At 37.7% G+C, this 20352-nt stretch overlaps 1 protein-coding gene across 2 annotated transcripts in view; it reads left to right on the top strand.

The window, feature by feature from the left end:
* The window catches only part of RELN (reelin), a 517870-nt gene that overhangs the window by 280608 nt on the left and 216910 nt on the right, over positions 1 to 20352 (top strand). For both annotated transcript variants that reach the window (NM_173054.3, NM_005045.4), the window contains exons 9-10: positions 8045 to 8141; positions 10958 to 11198. In NM_173054.3, the coding sequence (NP_774959.1) occupies positions 8045 to 8141; positions 10958 to 11198 (338 nt within the window). The remainder of the gene's footprint in view (positions 1 to 8044; positions 8142 to 10957; positions 11199 to 20352) is intronic.

Raw genomic sequence — 20352 nt, 5'->3', positions numbered from 1 at the left:
TTCAAGTGTTCATTGAGCTCCTCTTCTGTGTGAAGCAGCTCTCAAGGCACTTAGAATTTGTGAAACAAAATCTTTGCTCTGGAGGGGCCAACATTCTGGTGAGAGGAGGCAACTGTCAAATAAATGGACATGTCAGGGAGTAATAAATGCAATGAGAAAATTAAATCGGAGGTCAACGAGTGACGGGGTTAGCATTTTATTAGAGGTGGCCAGGGTAAGGCCTCTGAGGGGCGTGACCATTAAACAGAGGCCCGAATCGTGTAAGAGAGTTAACCCAGCAGAAGGACTAACCAGCGTTAAGAGTCATACCCTGTAATCCTAGCACTTTGGGAGGCCAAGACGGGCGGATCACGAGGTCAGGAGATCGAGACCATCTTGGCTAACACGGTGAAACCCCGTTTCTACTAAAAATACAAAAAATTAGCCGGGCGTGTTGGCGGGCGCCTGTAGTCCCAGCTACTTGGGAGGCTGAGGCAGGAGAATGGCATGAACCCGGGAGGCGGATCTTGCAGTGAGCCGAGATCGCGCCACTGCAGTCCAACCTGGGAGACACAGCAAGACTCCGTCTCAAAAAAAAAAAAAAAAAGAGTCATACCCACTGGTGTTTGGGTGACCACAACAGCCCTTATGTAAATGTCAGTATTAAATGATGTTTTACTTCTTAAGTGAGAAAGGCTGTTGGGAGGTCTGTTTTTCCTACTTTTTTTTCTGAATGACAGCTGAGGTTAAAAGAAATGAGTCTGAATCACAAGACAGCAACTAGGCTTTTGAGTTCACATGTACCTCTAACATAAGAGATACTTTTAATAGTTGGTCGACTCATTGATGAATTGATTGATTATTTCATCATCTTGGTCTGGCTTCCTATGACAAAAGTGGGAAGTTACTTGTCTATTTTTTCTAAATGATACCAGGGATAGTACTATTTAAATAGAACCAGAGTAAAAGTGGATACCTATTTCAGTTGTAATTTTAGATTAGGTAAAGTAGTTCCTAGATCAGACCAAGTTTACAATAAAATATTTGTTAGAATTATACTGATGAATCTCTCCAACATTAAAAGGAAGCAACTGTATAGAAATAGCTGTCATTCTTTTTATTCCATCATTTTTAAATAACAAGTACAGGGTACTGTTTTACACTGGTAAATATTATTTGTTTCTTTATGGTAAAATTGTAACTTTAGAAATAGTTTTTTTGTTTGTTTTGCTTATCTGAGAGGCCAAATTTTTGTAAAAAAAGAAATAGATTTGCAGCCGGGCGTGGTGGCTCGTGCCTGTAATCCCAACACTTTGGGAGGCTGAGGTGGGTGGAACACAAGGTCAAGAGATCGAGACCATCCTGGCCAACATGGTGAAACCCCGTCTCTACTAAGAATACAAAAATTAGCTGGATGTGGTAGCACACACCTGTAGTCCTAGCTACTCAGGAGGCTGAGGCAGGAGAATTGCTTGAACCCATGAAGCAAAGATTGCAGTGAGCCGAGATCGCGCCATTGCACTCCAGCCTGGCGACAGAGCGAGACTCCATCTCAAAAAAAAAAAAAGAAAAGAAAGAAATAGATTTGCAAGCCATCATGGAATGTGTTATTTAGGAAGCAAATATGAATTACATGTGTATCTTAAATTTATGATTGCAGTATTATATCAGGTTAACACTTTTCACATAATTGAGTTGGGAAATGTTGGGATATTACTTTTCTTGGAATGCAACTTTTTTAGCTCTCTTTATAGTGCCTTTCCATAGTTTCTTTTTTTTTAAGCAAATACATAATAAATTCTTTAGAAGGTTAATCTTTGTGTATTTCTTTTGAGCGCCCAGTTAGGAGGGTCTCACATTGATCTGGGTGAAAGATGATCTAAGGAGGTGGTGGTGAAGGGAAAAAACGGGTATAAATTTAATAAATATGTAAGTCTTGGTATGGTGGCTCACACTTGTAGTCCCAACTACTTGGAAGGCTGGGGTGAGAGGATCTCTTGAGCCCAGGAATTTGAGGCTACATGAACTCTGATCCCACCACTGCACTCTAGCCTGTGCAACACAGTGAGACCCCTGTCTATAAACAAATGAGCAGGAGGAGGGTCTACAGGTTTGGGTGACAGGCTATGAGGGCAGAGAAAGGAGAGGAATGGTCAGGGAATGTGCAGAGAAAGTGATGCCCAAGTACACATGATATTTCTTCTTGGTTCAGTTGTTCTGTGATCTTCTCCCATAGTAAAACCTGAGAGAGAGTTGAGATGATGACTAGCAGGGGGGTTAAAGGTTTAGTCCTTTTGGTTTTTCTCTCTTTATCAAAAACAAGACCATTATGGCCTTGAGTCATGAGCCTGAGTAGAAGCAGCAGCACATAGACCCATCCTAATATGTTCATGTACCCTTTGAAAATGTAGCACTATTGAAAAAAAAAAGATAAAGAAACAAGAAGAAAGGGTGTTTTGTACACCAGGAGAAGTATAGTGAAGAAGTCGAAAGCATGGGTTTATATCTACTCCATTCTGTATCTCATTTGTTAGTAGGTGTCCTTGGGTGAAATTTTTAACTTCTTTACCTTAGTTTCCTTACTTGTAAAGTAGAAACGCCTACTAATAGCAGGGCCTATCTGTTCATAACCCCTATAATTGTTCTCTTGAGTTGCTGGAAATTTTTTTTTGGATGGGTGCTATTAAATTTCTAACTAATCAGATTTTCTGGTTTCTTTGAATGCTTGGAACTGCACAATTAAATTTCTAACTCCACTCTAGCAATTGTATAGACCTTATGAAGTGTATCTCTTTATCCTAATCTGTCTTACTAGCCTGCTCTCAGAGCAGCTCCTTTTTTTTTTTTAACAAGTGAAAGGAGATTCTTCTCTTTCCCTACTAGCATATTTACCAATGATGCTAACAAATAGGTGGGCTACTCAGTTAGATCTTGGTTTTCATATCGTTATTGAATTTATAGCATGTCCAGTAAAGAGTAGGGAAATAGCCCAAAGTAAAAGAAAGTATAGAGGAAAAATGTACTGTAAGTTCTTTAGTAAGCAGTAATGAATTTAAAATTTAGCCCATGAACAAATACGATCAGGCATTACCTCCTTTTTCTGGGATAAATAAATTTATGAAATGAAATTTTAAAATATTCAATCATAGCTAAAGTTCATTAAATAGAATGCACCAATAACTGTTGTCTAGGTACTTTTCTTGTGTTAATGCCTTAATCTTTACAACAGTTCTGTGAAGCAGTTGCTGTCATTTTTCACATTTTACAAGTGTGGAAGTTAGGACACAGAAAGCGTAAGTGACTTGCCCAAGGCCACACAGCTTTGAAGTTTCAAAGGCCACACAGTTTAGAAGTGTCAAAGCTCAAATTGTAACCCTGGCAGCCTGTCCCCTCTATCCATTCTCGTAACCCTACACGTAATACCTCTCTGGAAGATATCTTATATCAGAGGCAATTTTACTCTAAAAAGTGGAGTACAAAATTATGTATAATTGTTATTAGTGCTAATAAGCATTGAATTCATTATCATGTAGACTTCTCTCAAATAAGAAAAATTAAGTATGATCTGTTTAAGGCTAGGTGATAAATTATAAGATACACCTACTATCAGATTTTTCTCATTACTTCATCATAGTACAAATTAGAGAACCATTTTTCTGTAAGGTTACGATTTTATTATATTTCTTCCTAAACACGAAAGTGTTTTAGGTTTTTTTGTTTGTTTGTTTGTATTTGGGGTGGTGTCATTCGAAATGAAAAGACACACAGAATATTTGGTTGCTGGAAAATCAATACTTCTAATTTTGACTTACTAAGATTGATATGCCCATTTAGGAGTTATGAATGAAGTATGTGAGGTGATGGATATGTTAATTGGCTGATCTAATCATTCTGGAATGTATACATATATTATAACAGCAAACTGTACCCCATAAATATGTGCAATTATTATAAATTAAAAATGAAATTAATAAAAATATTTGAGAGTAAGAGGAAAAGGGCCACAAAGGAGGCTCAGAAGCAATGGCCAGTGAAGCAGGAGAAAAATCAAGAGGGTGGTGGAAGTGAAGAGAAGAGAACATCCCAGAAATATCGGATCAGCCTTGACAAATCCTGCTGCAAAGTCACATAACCTGAATTTGGGAAAGCAATCTGTTGATTTGGCAACATGAACTCCCCAATGACCTGGGAACTAGCCAAGAGTGGTTTCAACTGAGTGCTTGAGAGTAGAAGCCTGGATGGAGTGGGGAAAAGAAAATAGATTGTGAGAAAGTGGAGGCAATCACTGGACAGCCAACCCCTTGGAGAAGTTTTGCCCAAAAAGGGAGCAAAAATAGGAAGGGAAGGAGCAGAAGGTGGGGGTGTGACATCGAGAAAGTTTTTTTTTTTTTAGATAGGAGATGAGTTGTGCATTGGTAGATGTTTGTAAGATAATAGACATTATCCAGGAAAATCACTGTGAGAAATTGATGATACAGGAGGAAGAGTGGAGGACTCTTCAGAAGCAAGGGGAGGTGGGATCTAGATAGACCACATGAGGAAATTAACCTTTGATTATAACAGAAATATTTCATCCACTGTAAGAGGAGGATGACAGAAAACACTGGCAGGATGGTACGTGTGGATTTGTGGTGAAAGATGAGGGCATTATAATCTGTGTTCCTATTTTTTTGTAATTACATGTTTTACATTGTTAACCTAATAAGAATGAACGTATACATAGGATTTTACATTAAAATGCTAGAAATTTTTTAAAAGCCAGAATTTTTATACTTGATCATACAAAGGAAGTTATTAAAATGACAAATTCATAGGCATAATTGGTAACAATTTGCCTTATATATTATGGGGTTGAGTAAACAACGTGATAGTGTGACAGTTGCTATGACTAGGTTTATCTTTATCATTTACCAACTTATTTGTCAATTTAAAATCAAGAATTGATAACCAAGACCACTGGAACCAACTACCTTTCACAAAAAACATCATTTCTTCTCCCAAACTGGGGGCATAGAAGTATTCTGTGCACATCAGTGTATGGGGGCCAGATTTCTTTGACTGTGTGGGCTCCTCAGTAAATCCAGGATGTTTGCTAATTTTGTTTATGACTACCAAACCTTAGAAACCCTTAGTCACTTTTACCCTTGTTGTGGGTAAAAATGAAGTATATGGGCTTTCCTCATTTGCCTGAAAGAACAAAAGAAAGTGCTTGCATTTTTAGACCAGTTTAAGTTCATCAGTGCCTCTCAGACCATACCTTAATAGCCAAAGTTCTCCATTACCTTTCCTCCTTCAACAACTGCTTAAATCCTTAAAAAATTGCTGCCTCAGAGTGAAGGATTACATTGGAAGTGACCTGAAGGAAGGAAACGAACAGGCAAGTAAGATGATATTTTGCATTTGACATTTGAAATTGTCCTTCCTTTCTGGTTTTAAATTTCAACTTTGGCAATTAAATATCTCTGATTTAAGAGAGAAAGTAAAGAAGTGCCTGTTACAGGTGGTGCCTACTTAGCATTCCCTCCTCACTCCCTAAGAAGGTACCTTGAGAGGTGTCACAGTGTCTGGGTACAGGGAGCCAGGAGTGACATTAAGCACCTGGGCACATGACAAAGGGGTGAACAATGACTAACTCTTTCCTCATCTTACCCTAGGCAGAATCAAGGAGCCATTTCCATCTGGGCAAGAACAGAGCTTATTCTGCTGACCAAAGTCTATGGGATAGTGGGATTGCAATTTGGAGGGTTTGTGTGAAGAAAAAGCTTACCTAGTTATACATACAGCTACACCGGGCGGGAGTAGGGAATCATTTATCACTGGTCTGGTATGTTTGGAAGGGTAATCTGGTGGGAGTGGCCTCTGAGTGAGGCAGATTTCCAAAGCTGAGCGCTCTCTTGGGGGGTGCTCCTTCCAGCTGGTACCTTCCACCTCAGTTCCTCTGGCATGGGCAGTGCCTCTCCACTGACTGACCACTCATATCCTGAGCTCCAATCATGGTCTTCCAGTTGTCCACCCCTCTGTTGGAATCCCCTTGCCTTTTTGGTCATCTTTTTATGATGAATGCTTCAAGATAACCCTGGGCCAGTTCTGTTTCTCAGGGTACACATTTGATCTGTAGGAACTGTACACCTTTAGCCTACTGGGGATGGAAGTGCAGCTTTTTCCTCAAAGGACTGAGGAATTGTTATAAGCACAGAGGTAACATGATTCCGTTGACTTGCAGAAAGAGCACTGGCAACACTAGCTGGGTGAGAACCGGTGAGGCTGGGACAGGGAGACTGACTAATCACTATTGCAGAGATCTGGCAAGAGCCAGTGAGGGTCCCTTGACAATGTCAAGGAAGAGATGCATTCAACAAAAACTAATGTTTTAGATATAAGAAAATGTGAGTGAGTGGCTGAGGAAAAGTGAGTCATCTGCTGGGTGCGTTTTTGTTTTCTAGATGCATAAAAAAGTTAACCTCATGATGCTGAGATGGTAGCATAAGAAAATAGACAAGAGAAGTCGTATTTGTCATCAAGGCCATATTTAGACTCATTTTTATTTTGATGTATATCAGCTTTCCTTCTCTCTTCTTAATTTGTAAACAATTCACAAGAAATTGCATTCTGTAAGGAATATTTTTGGTTATCATTTGTTGAATGCTTTCCTTTTTCAGAGATTTACCTTATACATTTGCTTTTAAGTGGTTATGGTGTGTAAGACATAAAGGAAGCACACGAGTAACATTTAAATTCTTGAGGCTAATTTGAACTTTCCTTCTAAATCACAGATTCTTTGCTAGACCTCATTCTTGTTTGTATTGAAGTTTGTCCTACATAATTCTGCCTGTCACCATTTCCAGTCGCACAGTTTGATATTTATTTTAAGCAGCTGCTCATGAAAAGTAGAGTTTTAGCAACAATTAAAGTAGCATAAGGTGGGTTTCCATTTGAGATCAGGGTTGCTCAGTAGCTTTCCTTTGAATATCCTTTTCTTTCATGCTTTTTCACTTACATTTTGGCTGTGAGAATAAATCTAGGAAAACTGCTGTTTGGCTTTTTAGTACATTGCCAGTTCTGGCAATTACAAACTAACTGGTTTTGTACTAAACACCACTGAAATAAAATAAATGAGTCTGATTAAAGCTTGGAACCCCTGAGCACTACAAACGTAAAATTGTCAACAGATGCCATTTGCTGAAACTGAGGCTCCTCTATCAGATGGGTGAAAGTTAAACATAAATTGCACTATTTTTTTTTGTTTTGGTTCATTCATTTTAAAGATAGTATAAAAATTTCTGCTACATCCATTACAATAAACTTCTGGCAAATGTTTCAGGGCTGTTTTGGGCATTCTGAGAGCTTTGAAATTGTAGTCATACTATGCTTTATTATATGAATTCATTCGACATGTAGAAACAAATTCTTATCAGCTTAAAATTTTTCTTTGATGCTAGTATTTCCACTATTGAAAATAATAATGATAAATAATCACCAAATATTCACAAAGGGATATAATCTATATTTTAAATCTGTAATGCTGGGTTATGGGAGAGTAATATCAATCACATCCATAAGAGTACTCATTCATTTAGTATTTGAATTTTCTTTACAGTATTTTAGTTTCTCATGTACTGTCTCATCATTTAGATAATACACACACAGAAAAATAATGGTGTTTTTATTCCTCAATGTAATGACTTATGTACCATTTAATATAATCACTCCTAATTGATACTAACTTGCAAGAACCATAATGACCTTATAAGTCACCCCATAATATTTAGTTATTTCTTGGCATAGCACTAAGTATTTGTTTTACAATTTAATTTAGTAGTTCATGTACCTCTAAAGAAATCTGCAATTTATATTTCTTTTACCTTTTTTTCTGGTTCCTAAGATTATTTATCAAATGGTAGTTACCAGAACAGATCACAGGAGATTTCAGCATCATTAGAAGAATGGGGAAGTTACCAGACAAATATCTAATAGTTTAAAAATTATCTAAAATATTTATCAGAAAAGATAATATGTATTTGCACCATTTTTTAACCTTGAAATTTATTGTTATTGCTATTTACAGGGTCAGGTTCATGTCGCTTTAGTTATTCAGACCCCAGCATCATCGTGTTATATGCCAAGAATAACTCTGCGGACTGGATTCAGCTAGAGAAAATTAGGTTTGTTGTAATTTAAAGTATTTTCATAAATTCTGACATAGATGGAGTTCTACTCTCCTATATGCCTTCAATCCACCACTAACTTTTTCTTTAGGGTAAAAAGGACTCTGGTTGTTAATTATGTTGAATTCTATGGATGCACATATTATGACCAGCCCTGCTCGGAGAAGATATTATTAAAAGTGTCATTTTCCATTCAGAACTTCCTCCCATCAGCAGTACTTATAACAAACTATTTTTGGTAAAAGTAAATTTGCAATCATAGCTTTTTTGATAGCATTCTCCACAAAATAATATCACCACCCATTGCTCTAGGTGGCCTGACTCTGGCCTGCCTTATGGTCTGGAAATACATCAGATGACTACTTAAATCCCTTCCAGTCTGTGATGATATTGAGTTAATAGCCACAGGGCCTTTTACATCTAATCTCCAGTTCTGTCACATCCTTTCTAACTTCCCTAAGGCCAGTTCTAAAATTCTATTAACATAATTGTGATGCGACTTGTAATTACATATTACATTTTCTTTATTAAAAAATATCCCTCAATAAGAAAATAAGGTAGGATGCTTGAGGATGAAGAAACTCATTCATGTTAAAAAGATTTGGCTAGATTAGCAAAACTCAAATTATGTTTGCCACTACTGAACAGTTTAAACCATGAAATAAAATTCTAAATGGATACTTAATTTTAGGTATAAGATATTTAAAGGAAAAAATGCCTTAAACTTTTATAAAGTGATTATTATGATTGGGTTAGCTCTTAAATTAGCATAACTTAAGTAGAATATTTTCTTATCAGTTTCGTGACAGCTCTCTTTTTTTCTACTAGCTATTTTCTTTATTATATTTCTGTATTAAAATAACTATTATTTAGGGTAGCAGAATAAATATTAGGCTGTCAGTATAATATTAAGCCAGTTTGTCTAAAGTTTCTTTGGTAGTGGTGTTTAAAAATAATAATAATAAAATAAAAACTTCACAAATCTTTAGTCTAACCAAAAACTGAGAAAAGTGTTTCTAACTCATGGATTTTAATAGATTGTCTCTCTCTGTGTCAGGACAAAATGTAATGTATAGGCATCTGATACAAGCTGAGCTGTGACAATTTTATAACAGAACATTTTGCTATTCTTTGTAATTCCTAGTAGTTATGAAAATGCATTCATATTAAATATTTCTATAAATGGCTTTAAACAAAGAAGCATAAATACTGAAAAATTTACCTATGTCTCCATTTTTTTTCTCTTTCTAGTATGTTATATATCATAGTTGAAGTAAATTATGGTACATATTTCTTACTGGAAAACAGCTACATGTTTTTGATATGATGAACAATGAAACTACATATTTAATTAGAACATATAAAGATTGTGTTCAGCTGAACCCATCTATTTTTCACTAAATGGTACTTTCAGTTTTAGGCCATGTACCAAACCAATGCAAATTTCCCTTACCAGTGGAGGTTAGAGTGAAAGTGCTCCCAATCACTACCTAAATATATTCTCTTCATCAATTTCAATTCTTTTTGAAGCTAAAAGCATAGTCATCATGAAATATTTTAAAAGAAAAGAGAATTGATTACCCCCAAAGGTAAGGTACACCATCTATAACCTATGGTGACAATTTTACGGATATATATGTGCTTCATTGGTGAGTGAGAAATATGGCTCTTCTCTAGTCCTTTCAAAACTGATTTATGACAAGCCCAGGGTGTACCACTAGTTTGCATTTTAGTACCACTTTTAATCTTAGCAAAGGCAATCATTTTTACTACAGCAGGTTTCTACTTTGGTGGAAGAAAATGTTTAATAAAAATATTTTATTATATAGCAGAAGGATCTGGATTCTAGTAGAGGTAATATAAAAAATCATGTTATATCATGTTTTTGAGGATGATCTATGTGAAATTGTGAGGTATTATAAGTGAGAGCATTTAATTATGGCAAATCTCACATTTCATATAGACTAAACATATGAAAACATCTGGTTAGTAGAAATAAAATAATTTAGATTGATTATTAAACATATTGCACACAGTGGTTTGTAATAGGTGAATAATTTCAAAGTAAAAACCAACATTAAGATCACAGCTTTGCCAGGCACGGTGGCTCACTCTAGCAGCCCCAACACTTTGGGAGGCTGAGGCAGAAGGATCACTTGAGCCCAGGAGTTTGAGACCAGCCCAGGCAACATAGCAAGACCTATTTCAACAAAAATAAAAATAAAAATTAGCTGGGCATGGTGATGGATGCCTGTAGTCCTAGCTACTCAAGATGCTGAGGAGTGAGGATCACTTGAGCCAGGAGTTCAAGGTTACGGTGATCTGTGATAGTGCCACTGCACTCCAGCCTATATGACAGAGCAAGACCCTGTCTCAAAAAAACAAAATCACACTTTTATATTTTTTATCCTTATTATTGGGTAACCTGTTTTAGATTGTATGTTTACCATGTGCAAAAAATTGTGCTGGATATACTTTGTGATTTGTAATTTTTTTACACAAGCCATAGCAGTGTGTGCCATTTTCTCTTTAATTTTTCCTTTACTGACTTATTTGAACATACTTAGTGCCTGACTTGTTTTCCATGTAAACCTTTTGTAGGTATTTAATACTTGAACTGTCATCATTCAATATGAAAATCTTAATAGTCAGCAAATATTAAAAGATTTAAGGGCTATGAGATTGTAGCTATTTTATCTGTAATAAATATAACATTCTTGAGATCATGAAACTACAACCTTAAGAAACAAAATTCATCTCTAAGAAAGAAAAAGTCAGCATTGCTAAACTTGCCATCTCTCTGTATGTTCCAGAGCCCCTTCCAATGTCAGCACAATCATCCATATCCTCTACCTTCCTGAGGACGCCAAAGGGGAGAATGTCCAATTTCAGTGGAAGCAGGAAAATCTTCGTGTAGGTGAAGTGTATGAAGCCTGCTGGGCCTTAGATAACATCTTGATCATCAATTCAGCTCACAGACAAGTCGTTTTAGAAGATAGTCTCGACCCAGTGGACACAGGCAACTGGCTTTTCTTCCCAGGAGCTACAGTTAAGGTTAGAGCTCTTTTTAGTTTTTGGGTTGTTTTAATCCTTCATCTCCTTTCTAAAAGTGAAGCTCAATAAACCAAATTGTATAAAGATAGCTATTTTACCAAAACCACTATTAAAGGACCAGATAATATACTTATTTATATTACCCTACCTTTTAAGGATGGAAAGTCATTAGTATAAAACATTCACTTATTCATTCATTTAACAAGTATTTTTGAGAACTCACTGTGCTGTGTACTGGGCTGAACCCAGAGAATATAACCACAAAAAGGCAGATGTGTCTCTTCCCATTGTGTGGATGTCAGTTTAGTTTGGGGGAGTTAAATATGTCAGCATACAAATACGAAACAGCCTGATGGTTATGATTTGCTGGGGAAGTTCAGAGTATTGAGAAACTACAGTATAACAGTACCAAATCCAGACCTGGGGGGTTACAAAGGCAGGGTAGGAGAATAGGGACTCCAAGTAGAGGCTGAACAGTAATTTGGAGTTGGCCAGGAAGGAGGAATCGTGTGTCTAGAATTATAAATCAGATACATTAAGGCTGTGTTGTGGGCTGAATGTTTGTATCCCTCCACCTCCCCAGAATTCATATGTTGAAATCCTAACTCCAATACAATGGCATTAGAGGTGGGCCCTTGGGAGGTAATTAAGTGACAAGGGTACAGACACCCCAGAGAGCACATTGAGAACCAGAAAGTGGCCCTTACCGAACATCAAATCTTCCAGTGCCTTGGTCTTGGACTTTCCAGCCTCCAGAACTGTAAGAAATATTTGTTGTTTAAGCCACCCAGTCATAGTACTCTGTTATAGCAGCCCAAACTGAGGCTGGAAGGTGCAAGCACAAAGTAAAAGTCTTGGGAAAAATTCAGAATAGTTGTCTAACACATTTTAAGTTGAGACTTGTGATAGAAAAGTTTGAAGATATGGCCAGTGACAAGACCTTGAAGATCTTGCAAGACTCTGTAGAGTTTGAATTTTTATCTTGAAGGTGATAGAGAGCCACTGAAGTGCTTTAAACAGGAGCCAATCATATTTGTTTTTGAAATATCCCTTTGAGGATAGAGGACTGAACGGAAGGAAGAAAAAGTGCATGCAGAGAGACCAAATAGGAGGCTTATGATAGTAGTTCAATGGGAGATCATATTGGCCAGAATTAGGAGTGAGAGATCATATTGGCCAGAATTAGGAGTGAGAGGATGGAAAAATGTGGCTATTTCAGATTTATAGGACAGGGAACAGAAAAGGTTGGGGACATATTGAGAACATGAAGGAATGATAGATGTCAGGGACAAGGTATAGGCAGCTGGATGGACAGGTGCTGTTCATTGAAAAGGAAACATAGTGAAGGAGCAGGTTCATGGGAAGTTGGTGAGTCCCTTTGGACATATCAATTTTGATTATCTTGAGGGAAAGCAAGAAGAACTATTTGGTGGGAGGTTAGATGTTTGGGTGAGAAGCTCAGAGAAAGATCCAAATTTGGCAATCATTAGCCTTATGAGTGGGGATTCAAATCATGGGCTTGCCTGCCCGGAGAGTGCATGGAATATGAAATTGCACTTAGGTGATATGAAAATGTCATGAGACCCTCAACTGTATCCCCTCAAGTTTCCAACATATGAAAATAAAATACAAACACAGCTTGGAGAATTTTTTAACATGTGTCTCACGGCTTACAGAACATCCCGAGCTAGAAAGGGGTGAGGATCACAAGAAAAGTAGCAAGTAGAATAGAAAGATCGAGAATGCTCACCTCCTTTTAATAATAGAGTTGAGCACCAGAAAAACTATTACAAATTATTTGGTGAACCCTCAACACAGGAACTCTCCTGATGGAAATGACTTCTTGCTTAACAAGTCAAACCCTAGTCATGTTGCTTTGATTTGAAAGTATACTAATTGACATTAGGAACAGGCATCATCTTTGCTCAATACAAGCAGTAAACCTTATGGAAATTTATTCTGATTGAGTCTGAAGTCATGGCTCCTTCAAGAGCCATGGATTTCTTTTGTATGAGTCTAGAAAAAAACATTCGTCAGAATAGCGTATGTCATATCCCACTACCACTTGATTAAAAGAGGAATTTCTGCTGTCATTGTTCAACACTGGCAAGCAGATGCATAAACCCAGGAGACCTCGGGGCCTGGGATTCACATCATTTTGTGATGATGGTCATTTATCATTTGGTCTGAGTACCCTTTATGGCATAAATGTACCCTCTGTTTCATTTTACAAGCCATTACACTAATCTAATTAGCTATTTGGTTTCTCATTGCATGTACTTTGTTACCACCCATGATAAAAATGCATGAGGTGTGGTTTTGCTTCGGTAGTAATTTTAATTATATTACAACTTTATGTGGAATATGCTTTGCTTTGTGGTCCCTCATCCTACTCATAAGCTTTCCAATCACACATTTGAGACTTGCCGAGTGACCTATGTCTATTAAGGGAAAAAAAATCATTGTAGTAATGATTTATAACATTATCTTTGACTTGGCCGTTAAGTAGAAATTTTTCTCTGATGTTTCTTCTTAAAACTTCAAATAAATGCATTCATAATATCTAAGAATTTGTCATTTTAGTTCATTTACATGACTGCCCTTTTGTTTTTTGGTTCCACCATCTGAGAATGAAAGAATTGCTTTTGCCAAGTGATTTGGAATTCTAGAAATAAAAATTGTTTCTTTAGACTATATGCAACTTGTTTGTCAAATATTGTTTCTTTACTTGATGGCCTCTGAGGTGAAAACTAAATACAGCAAATTAGAAAGCATATCTCAGTGTTCCTATTGGTCATGAGGTGTGTTTAAAACATTGTTTTATTTTGGACTTTTAGTTTTTGGAGTTGTATTTTTTGTTCAACCTACTCATTAAAAGTTTCCAAGATGGCCAGGCACAGAGGATCATGCTTGTAATCCCAGCACTTTGGGAGGCCAAAGTGGGAGGATCACTTGAGGCCAGAAGTTTAAGACTTGCCTGGACAACATAGAGAGACCCTGTCTCTACAAAAATTAAAAAAAAAAAACTAGCCAGGCATGGTGGTGCACACCTGTAGTCCCAGCTACTCCAGAGGCTGAGATGGGACCATTGCTTGAGCCCAGGACTTCAAGGTGCAGTGAGCTATGATCTGAAAAAAAAATTTCCAAGGTGTTTCCATCTTGATTATCTCAAAGAGTACATCTAACAGCAATGCTTAATTATAAAATGGAGCTATTTACGGAAAAATTTCCAAACACAGATAAGATTAACTTTGACCAAGTAATAAAAGCTACTTTTTATTGAACACTTACTGTTCTAGGCACTCACCATTCCAGACTCACACACACACACATCATCATCGTCGTCGCCATCATCATCATCATCATCATCATCATCATCATCATCTCATTTAACTGGATCCTTATAAACCTGTAAAGAAGATGCTGTGTTAGTCCCATTTTTCATATGTGGAAAGTGGAACATAGAGGTGTTAAATACCTTGTCCAAAATACATCTCTCACCAGAAGCAGGGTAAGGATTCAAATCCAGGAACTGACTTTAGAACTCTTGCTCTCAGTTGCCACATAGCTTTGCTGTCACAAGTAGTGAGTAACTGACGTGCTTCTTGATTGTCTTGTGTTTCTTCCCAACATCCACCTGTTAAATTATCTGTGTGTTTTCTCCCCCATCACTCTCTGGCTGTAGGTTAAAAGATTCTTGTTTTTCTCAAGTCTCTTGATCTTGCTCCAGCTTTGTTCCATGCGTACCACCTGTTCCTTCCTCCAGAAGACTGGTTTTGTTATACATTACAGTTTAGCAAGTGCAGCCCAAACACTGTTTGCTTCCCTTTCTTCCACATCGTAACAGCTGATTTTGTTTTCAAAATTCTAGTTCCTGGTTCATCTTAGCTACTGATGGGCAAACTATTGTGTATTTAAGGAAGAAAAAGTATTAAAATATTTCCCTTATGAAGGCAGGAGGTGTTTTCAGTAATCTACAGAGGAGATGAAATAGAGTAGGGGCCTTGGAACAATAAAGAAAGATAAATCAACAGTCTAATGTAGCCAACTGCCTGGCAAGATGTTGGAACCAAGGATCATCCAAAGGGATGCCACTGGCAAAAACTCTAGCATCATTCCTTAACACAAATTACATTATGCTGCCTCCATGCTTAAGACCTTTGATGACTTCCTATGTAGGCCTAGAGGATACAAGCCAAAATCCCTCACTTATAATTCAAGGCCCTTTCCAATTTTTATCCAGCCTAATTTTCTTTCTTTTTAATTTTTTTTACCTTTTTTCATCCTTTATTTTTTATTTTTTTTTTATTTTGCTGGATTTTGTTATAGTTCTTTTTTTATATATACTTAAAGTTCTGGGATACACGTGCAGAACATGCAGGTTTGTTACATAAGTATACATGTGCCATGGTGGTTTGCTGTACCTATCAACCCGTCATCTAGCTTCTAAGCCCCACATGCATAAAGTATTTGTCCTAATGCTCTCCCTCCCCTTGCCCCCCAACCCCCCGACAGGCCCCAGTGTGTGATGTTCCCCTCCCTGTGTCCATGTGTTCTCATTGTTCAATTCCCACTTATGAGTGAGAACATGTGGTGTTTGGTTTTCTGTTCCTGTGTTAGTTTGCTGAGAATGATGGCTTCCAGCTTCATCCATGTCCCTGCAAAGGACATGAACTCATCCTTCCATATGGCTGCATAGTATTCCATGGTGTATATGTGCCACATTTTCTTTATCCAGTCTATCATCGATGGGCATTTGGGTTGGTTCCAAGTCTTTGCTATTGTAGTTAGTCATCCAGCCTAATTTTCATCCTCATCTCCTGATCCACTGTGCTCCAGCGTCACAAATACAACCAACTCAGAAAATCTCACTCACATTCCTTTAGGTGTGGTTTTCAACATTTCTCTATTCCCTTCCTAGTAATTCCCCTCCATCTTTAGGGGCTCAGTTCAAATGCCATTGTCTCTGAGAAGTTTTGCATAGCTAATGTCTCCCTCCTCTTTGTGCTAGTGGAACCATTAAGTTGAACAAACAGGACTTGTCGGGGTGGGGACAGGTGACAGAAAAAAAAAATGCCACTCTTTTTCCACTGGTCATTCAAATTTGCTGTGGCAGCTCCTTTATCCCTGCCCTCTTTGCATGAAACTAGGGTAGGTCCCAAGACTGCTGATAGACCAAAAGAGTCATCGAGTTACTTTAGTCTCCCAGATACCTCAGTTCACTATCAATATGATCAGTTAAGGATGATAATGCAAGCTCCAGATTTCATCCACAGCTGCTCACCTCCAATGTAGGTCTCCTGCAGTAGAAATGGGGACAGTGGTCAGCTCCTTCTCCCTCCTCACTCACCACCCCCAATCCCAACTAGTTTCAGATCCTTAATCCTCCAGGGTTGGATCTGGAAGAAGAAGAAGAGGCAAGAGGCAGGTATTATTGTGAGCTGGCATTGATTCCTGGGCCTGGCAAGTGATCAAAACTGGCTTTCTGTGGAATCTACCAGTAGATTCTCTGGAAATCCTCCCACTCTTCACCAAAGCTGGGGCTCACTCACCCCAAAGCATCTCTCAGGCAGATCATGCATGCTTCCTCTCTTAGCATTGCATCTCTGGCTAATGAATACAACATTTTTGTGCTGAGGGCTCCTTGCCCCTTCGTGATCCCACTGGGACAGGATCTCAGACAACCTAGAAAAGCTGGAAAAATATCAAGAGGGTCTAGTTTATAAGGCAGGAAGATTAATTTTTAATTCAGTGATGACTTAAAGACACTGAAAATGTTATGAAAGGGACTGGATATAACATAATTGTTAAAACTTGTCTGGGTTCAAATCTTGGCTTAACCATTTGTTAGCCATGTGGTCTTGGGTAAGCTATTTAACCTCTCAGTGTCCTTGCCTATAACAGGAATAATACTAGTATCCACCTCATGTTGTCATGACGAAATAAGAAAATATTAAATAGTAGATACTGTTAAAGTATACTAGTTTTATTAACTACAAATGATTTTTTCTTTTTATTTTAGTTTTTATTGTTATTTTTTGAGAAAGAGTCTTGCTGTGTTGCCCAGACTAGTGTGCAGTGTCATGATCTCGTCTCACTGCAGCCTCCACCTCCCAGATTCAAGTGATTCTTGTGCCTTAGCCTCCTGAGTAGTTGGGACTACAGGTGTGCGCCACCACACCCGGCTAAGTTTTGTACTTTTAGTAAAGATGGGGTTTTGCCATGTTAGGCAGGCTGGTCTGGAACTTCTGACCTCAAGTGATTCACCCACCTCAGCCTCTTAAAGTGCTGGGATTACAGGTGTGAGCCACTGCTCCTGGCCTACGAATGACTGTTTTAATGCTACTGTCAATAAAACAAGGGAATACACAGAGTAGTGAGTATGTAAACACTCCACTGCTGATCTTGAAAATAATGTTGACAGTGGCAGGTCAAATAGAAAAGAGAAAAATAAACCATTGTCATTCACAGTACATATTACTCTTGTCTTCTTTAGATATTTCTTTCTGTTTTTTGGCGGGGGGGACTATCTAAACCATTTCATCTGAGCCTATTCTTGTTTATCTCAAGTAGGGAAGAATGATATAAGACCAAATAGTTTCAGATATAAGACCAAATAGTTTCAAATAGAGTAATTAGCTTCAGGACTTTATATGATTTGGAGAATTATAATTGTAGGTCACAAGTTGAAGTCAGCCCTGGGTTGGTAGAAGGCTTTACCATCTGTTGGCTTTTTTAGTAATTAATATGAAATAGATGTATAACACTATCAGCTTTTAATGTAGAACCTGGCCTTATATTTGTTGTGCTTTTTGAATTGGGGTTGGAAAGCTGAGGAGGACTGTAAATGGTTACAGAATTAATCTATTCTTTATGTCACCATCTGTTTCTCCTCCTTTCTTTTTCCAAGTCCGTGGCCTTGCCTGACTCATCTTACAGTGTTTTTACAGAGAACTTCCCATGTGGAAGAAAAGGTGTACCACATTCCTATCCTGCTTCTAATTACCATCATAATTTTTTATTTCCCACAAATCCCTAAGCAGCCTTTTGTTCACTATCAAGGAGGTAGGGCTTTAAATACCAATAAATATAGTGCTACAAGTTCAAAAGCTCCCCAGAGCCCCACCCTCATTCGTAATCTCCCAGAGTAAGCAGCTCATGCACTCAGCAAAGGAAGGTGCCTGAAACTCACTCAGTATCAAATCACCTGTCACAACTGTTGTTTACGATGGTTTTGCTCTCTTTCACAGAATATTGTATCCTTCTTTGTACTTGTGTATATGATTTCTAGAATAATCAAGTATTTTTTTCCAGCTGCTCCTATTCTAAAGATAAGGGGTACACTGTATCAGCTCATCATCTGCAGTTACTAGAATAGCTGTTCCTGCCATGGCAGGGCCTCTGTCATGTGGTTGTGGATGGGTGTTCCACATTTAAGAACGAAAGGCACATTCTTCCTCCCTGTAGTGGGGGAATGATTAATCTCAAGGAACATCTAGTGCACCAGCTCTGTGAGAATGGCCTTGGTTTTACCGTCAAGGATTAAAGGCTATGAACTGATTTTTTTTTTCACTCCTTCCATTTAAGATATACAGTAACAAGATTCAACGTATCACCTTGGGCAGAATTCTCATATTCAGGAATGATACTTGCAGTGGCATGAACACTGCATAGTGATTAAAAATAATAACAATAAATAGTAGTAACCATAGTTATGATAAATAATAGTAATAATAATGATAGTAGAAGTATTGATAGCATTTCATGAATACTTTGTAGATGCCAGCACCATGAGGAAGATCTTGCCATCCAGTTTTATATCTAGAGTAGATGAACATTTTGTGTCTGTAAAAACCCTGGATGCTCAATGTTCAGTTTTCCTCAGTCACTCTTGAAACATCTAGGCAAGTCCATCGAAGTCATCTCTTCCCAACTCCTCAAATACACATCCTGCAATCTGAGAATATTCTTAATTTTAAGTTGAAAGAAAAACATTAGATGTAAGTTTTCAGAGCGTCAGCCTGGAGCTGCTGCAGCTGCCTGCTTTCCACAAGTTATCATCAAGAGCTGCAAAGGTCAGTGAAGCACGTCGCAGAGAACCCAGGGACAATTGATTTGGAAAGAGCTGTGAGCAGGGCTTTTTGTTTTTATTTTTTTGTTTTCCTCATCCTTTAATAGTACCCCATGAAGCAGTGTTTCTGAATGGATCAATATGCCATGGAAGTGAATATTGGTCTGGCAGCTGCTTCATTTTGTTTGTTTACGCTCGTCTTTGGTGGCAGCCAAAATTTTTATTTTGAAAGCGTGAATCATCTTTGAACACTTGGTGTGTGTGTGTTTGTGTGGGTGTGTGTCTGTGTTTTCAAAAGAGAAAAAGTGCTTTGCTCACTCACAGTTAATAAATGTTTATATCTGCTCAGCTATCGTGGTTACCCTCAGCTTGCAAAGGCATAAATCACTGGCTTCTGTCAACTCTGGAATTGACCTACAGATTAAACGCAGATCACTATGAGATAGATACTTTCCACATTTTTTTTATTTTTAAGAAATCTTCCCACTCTGATTGCTGTGCCTGCACCTGCTAATCTTTTTCTCTTTATTACCCTAGTTCATTGTGTGGATAGCAAAGAATTCCAGATTACCTTTTCTACACATTTATGTCAACTTGTTTTAAGAAGTAAATCAGCACTAAATGTCTGATTACTCTGTTTCTCCTTTAGAATAGGCTGTGATTTGATCACATGTATTTAAAAGACATTTTATTTTTTAAAAAAAGTAATTTGTTAAATTTTGCAAACTAATATCAAGGATTTAGAGTAACTAAGTTACTGAATTTAGAAGGGTCATATCTTAATGTTTCCTCTACTACTACTTTGAATTTGACTGCCTCCCCTTTACTACCTTTACTATTGATAAATATCCAATAATAAAGACAATTTTTCTAGTTTAACAAACATCAAAAGGCCCTAATGAAGACAACAGACGTTAGGTAAATCAGCAACCCATTAAGGGGAAGCATTAAATCTGAACACAAGAGTCTATTAATTTTCTGTTGCTCTTGTACCTTATGCATTTGCCAAATTCATTGTCCCAGTGGACACTAGGCAAGTCTCCAGTCCTGAATAAGAACTGAATCTTTTATTCTGGGCTTCTG

This window comes from Homo sapiens, chromosome 7 (genome assembly GCF_000001405.40).
Source record: "Homo sapiens chromosome 7, GRCh38.p14 Primary Assembly".
Classification (NCBI taxonomy): domain Eukaryota; kingdom Metazoa; phylum Chordata; class Mammalia; order Primates; family Hominidae; genus Homo; species Homo sapiens.
This window is presented reverse-complemented; position numbering and strand designations above follow the sequence as displayed.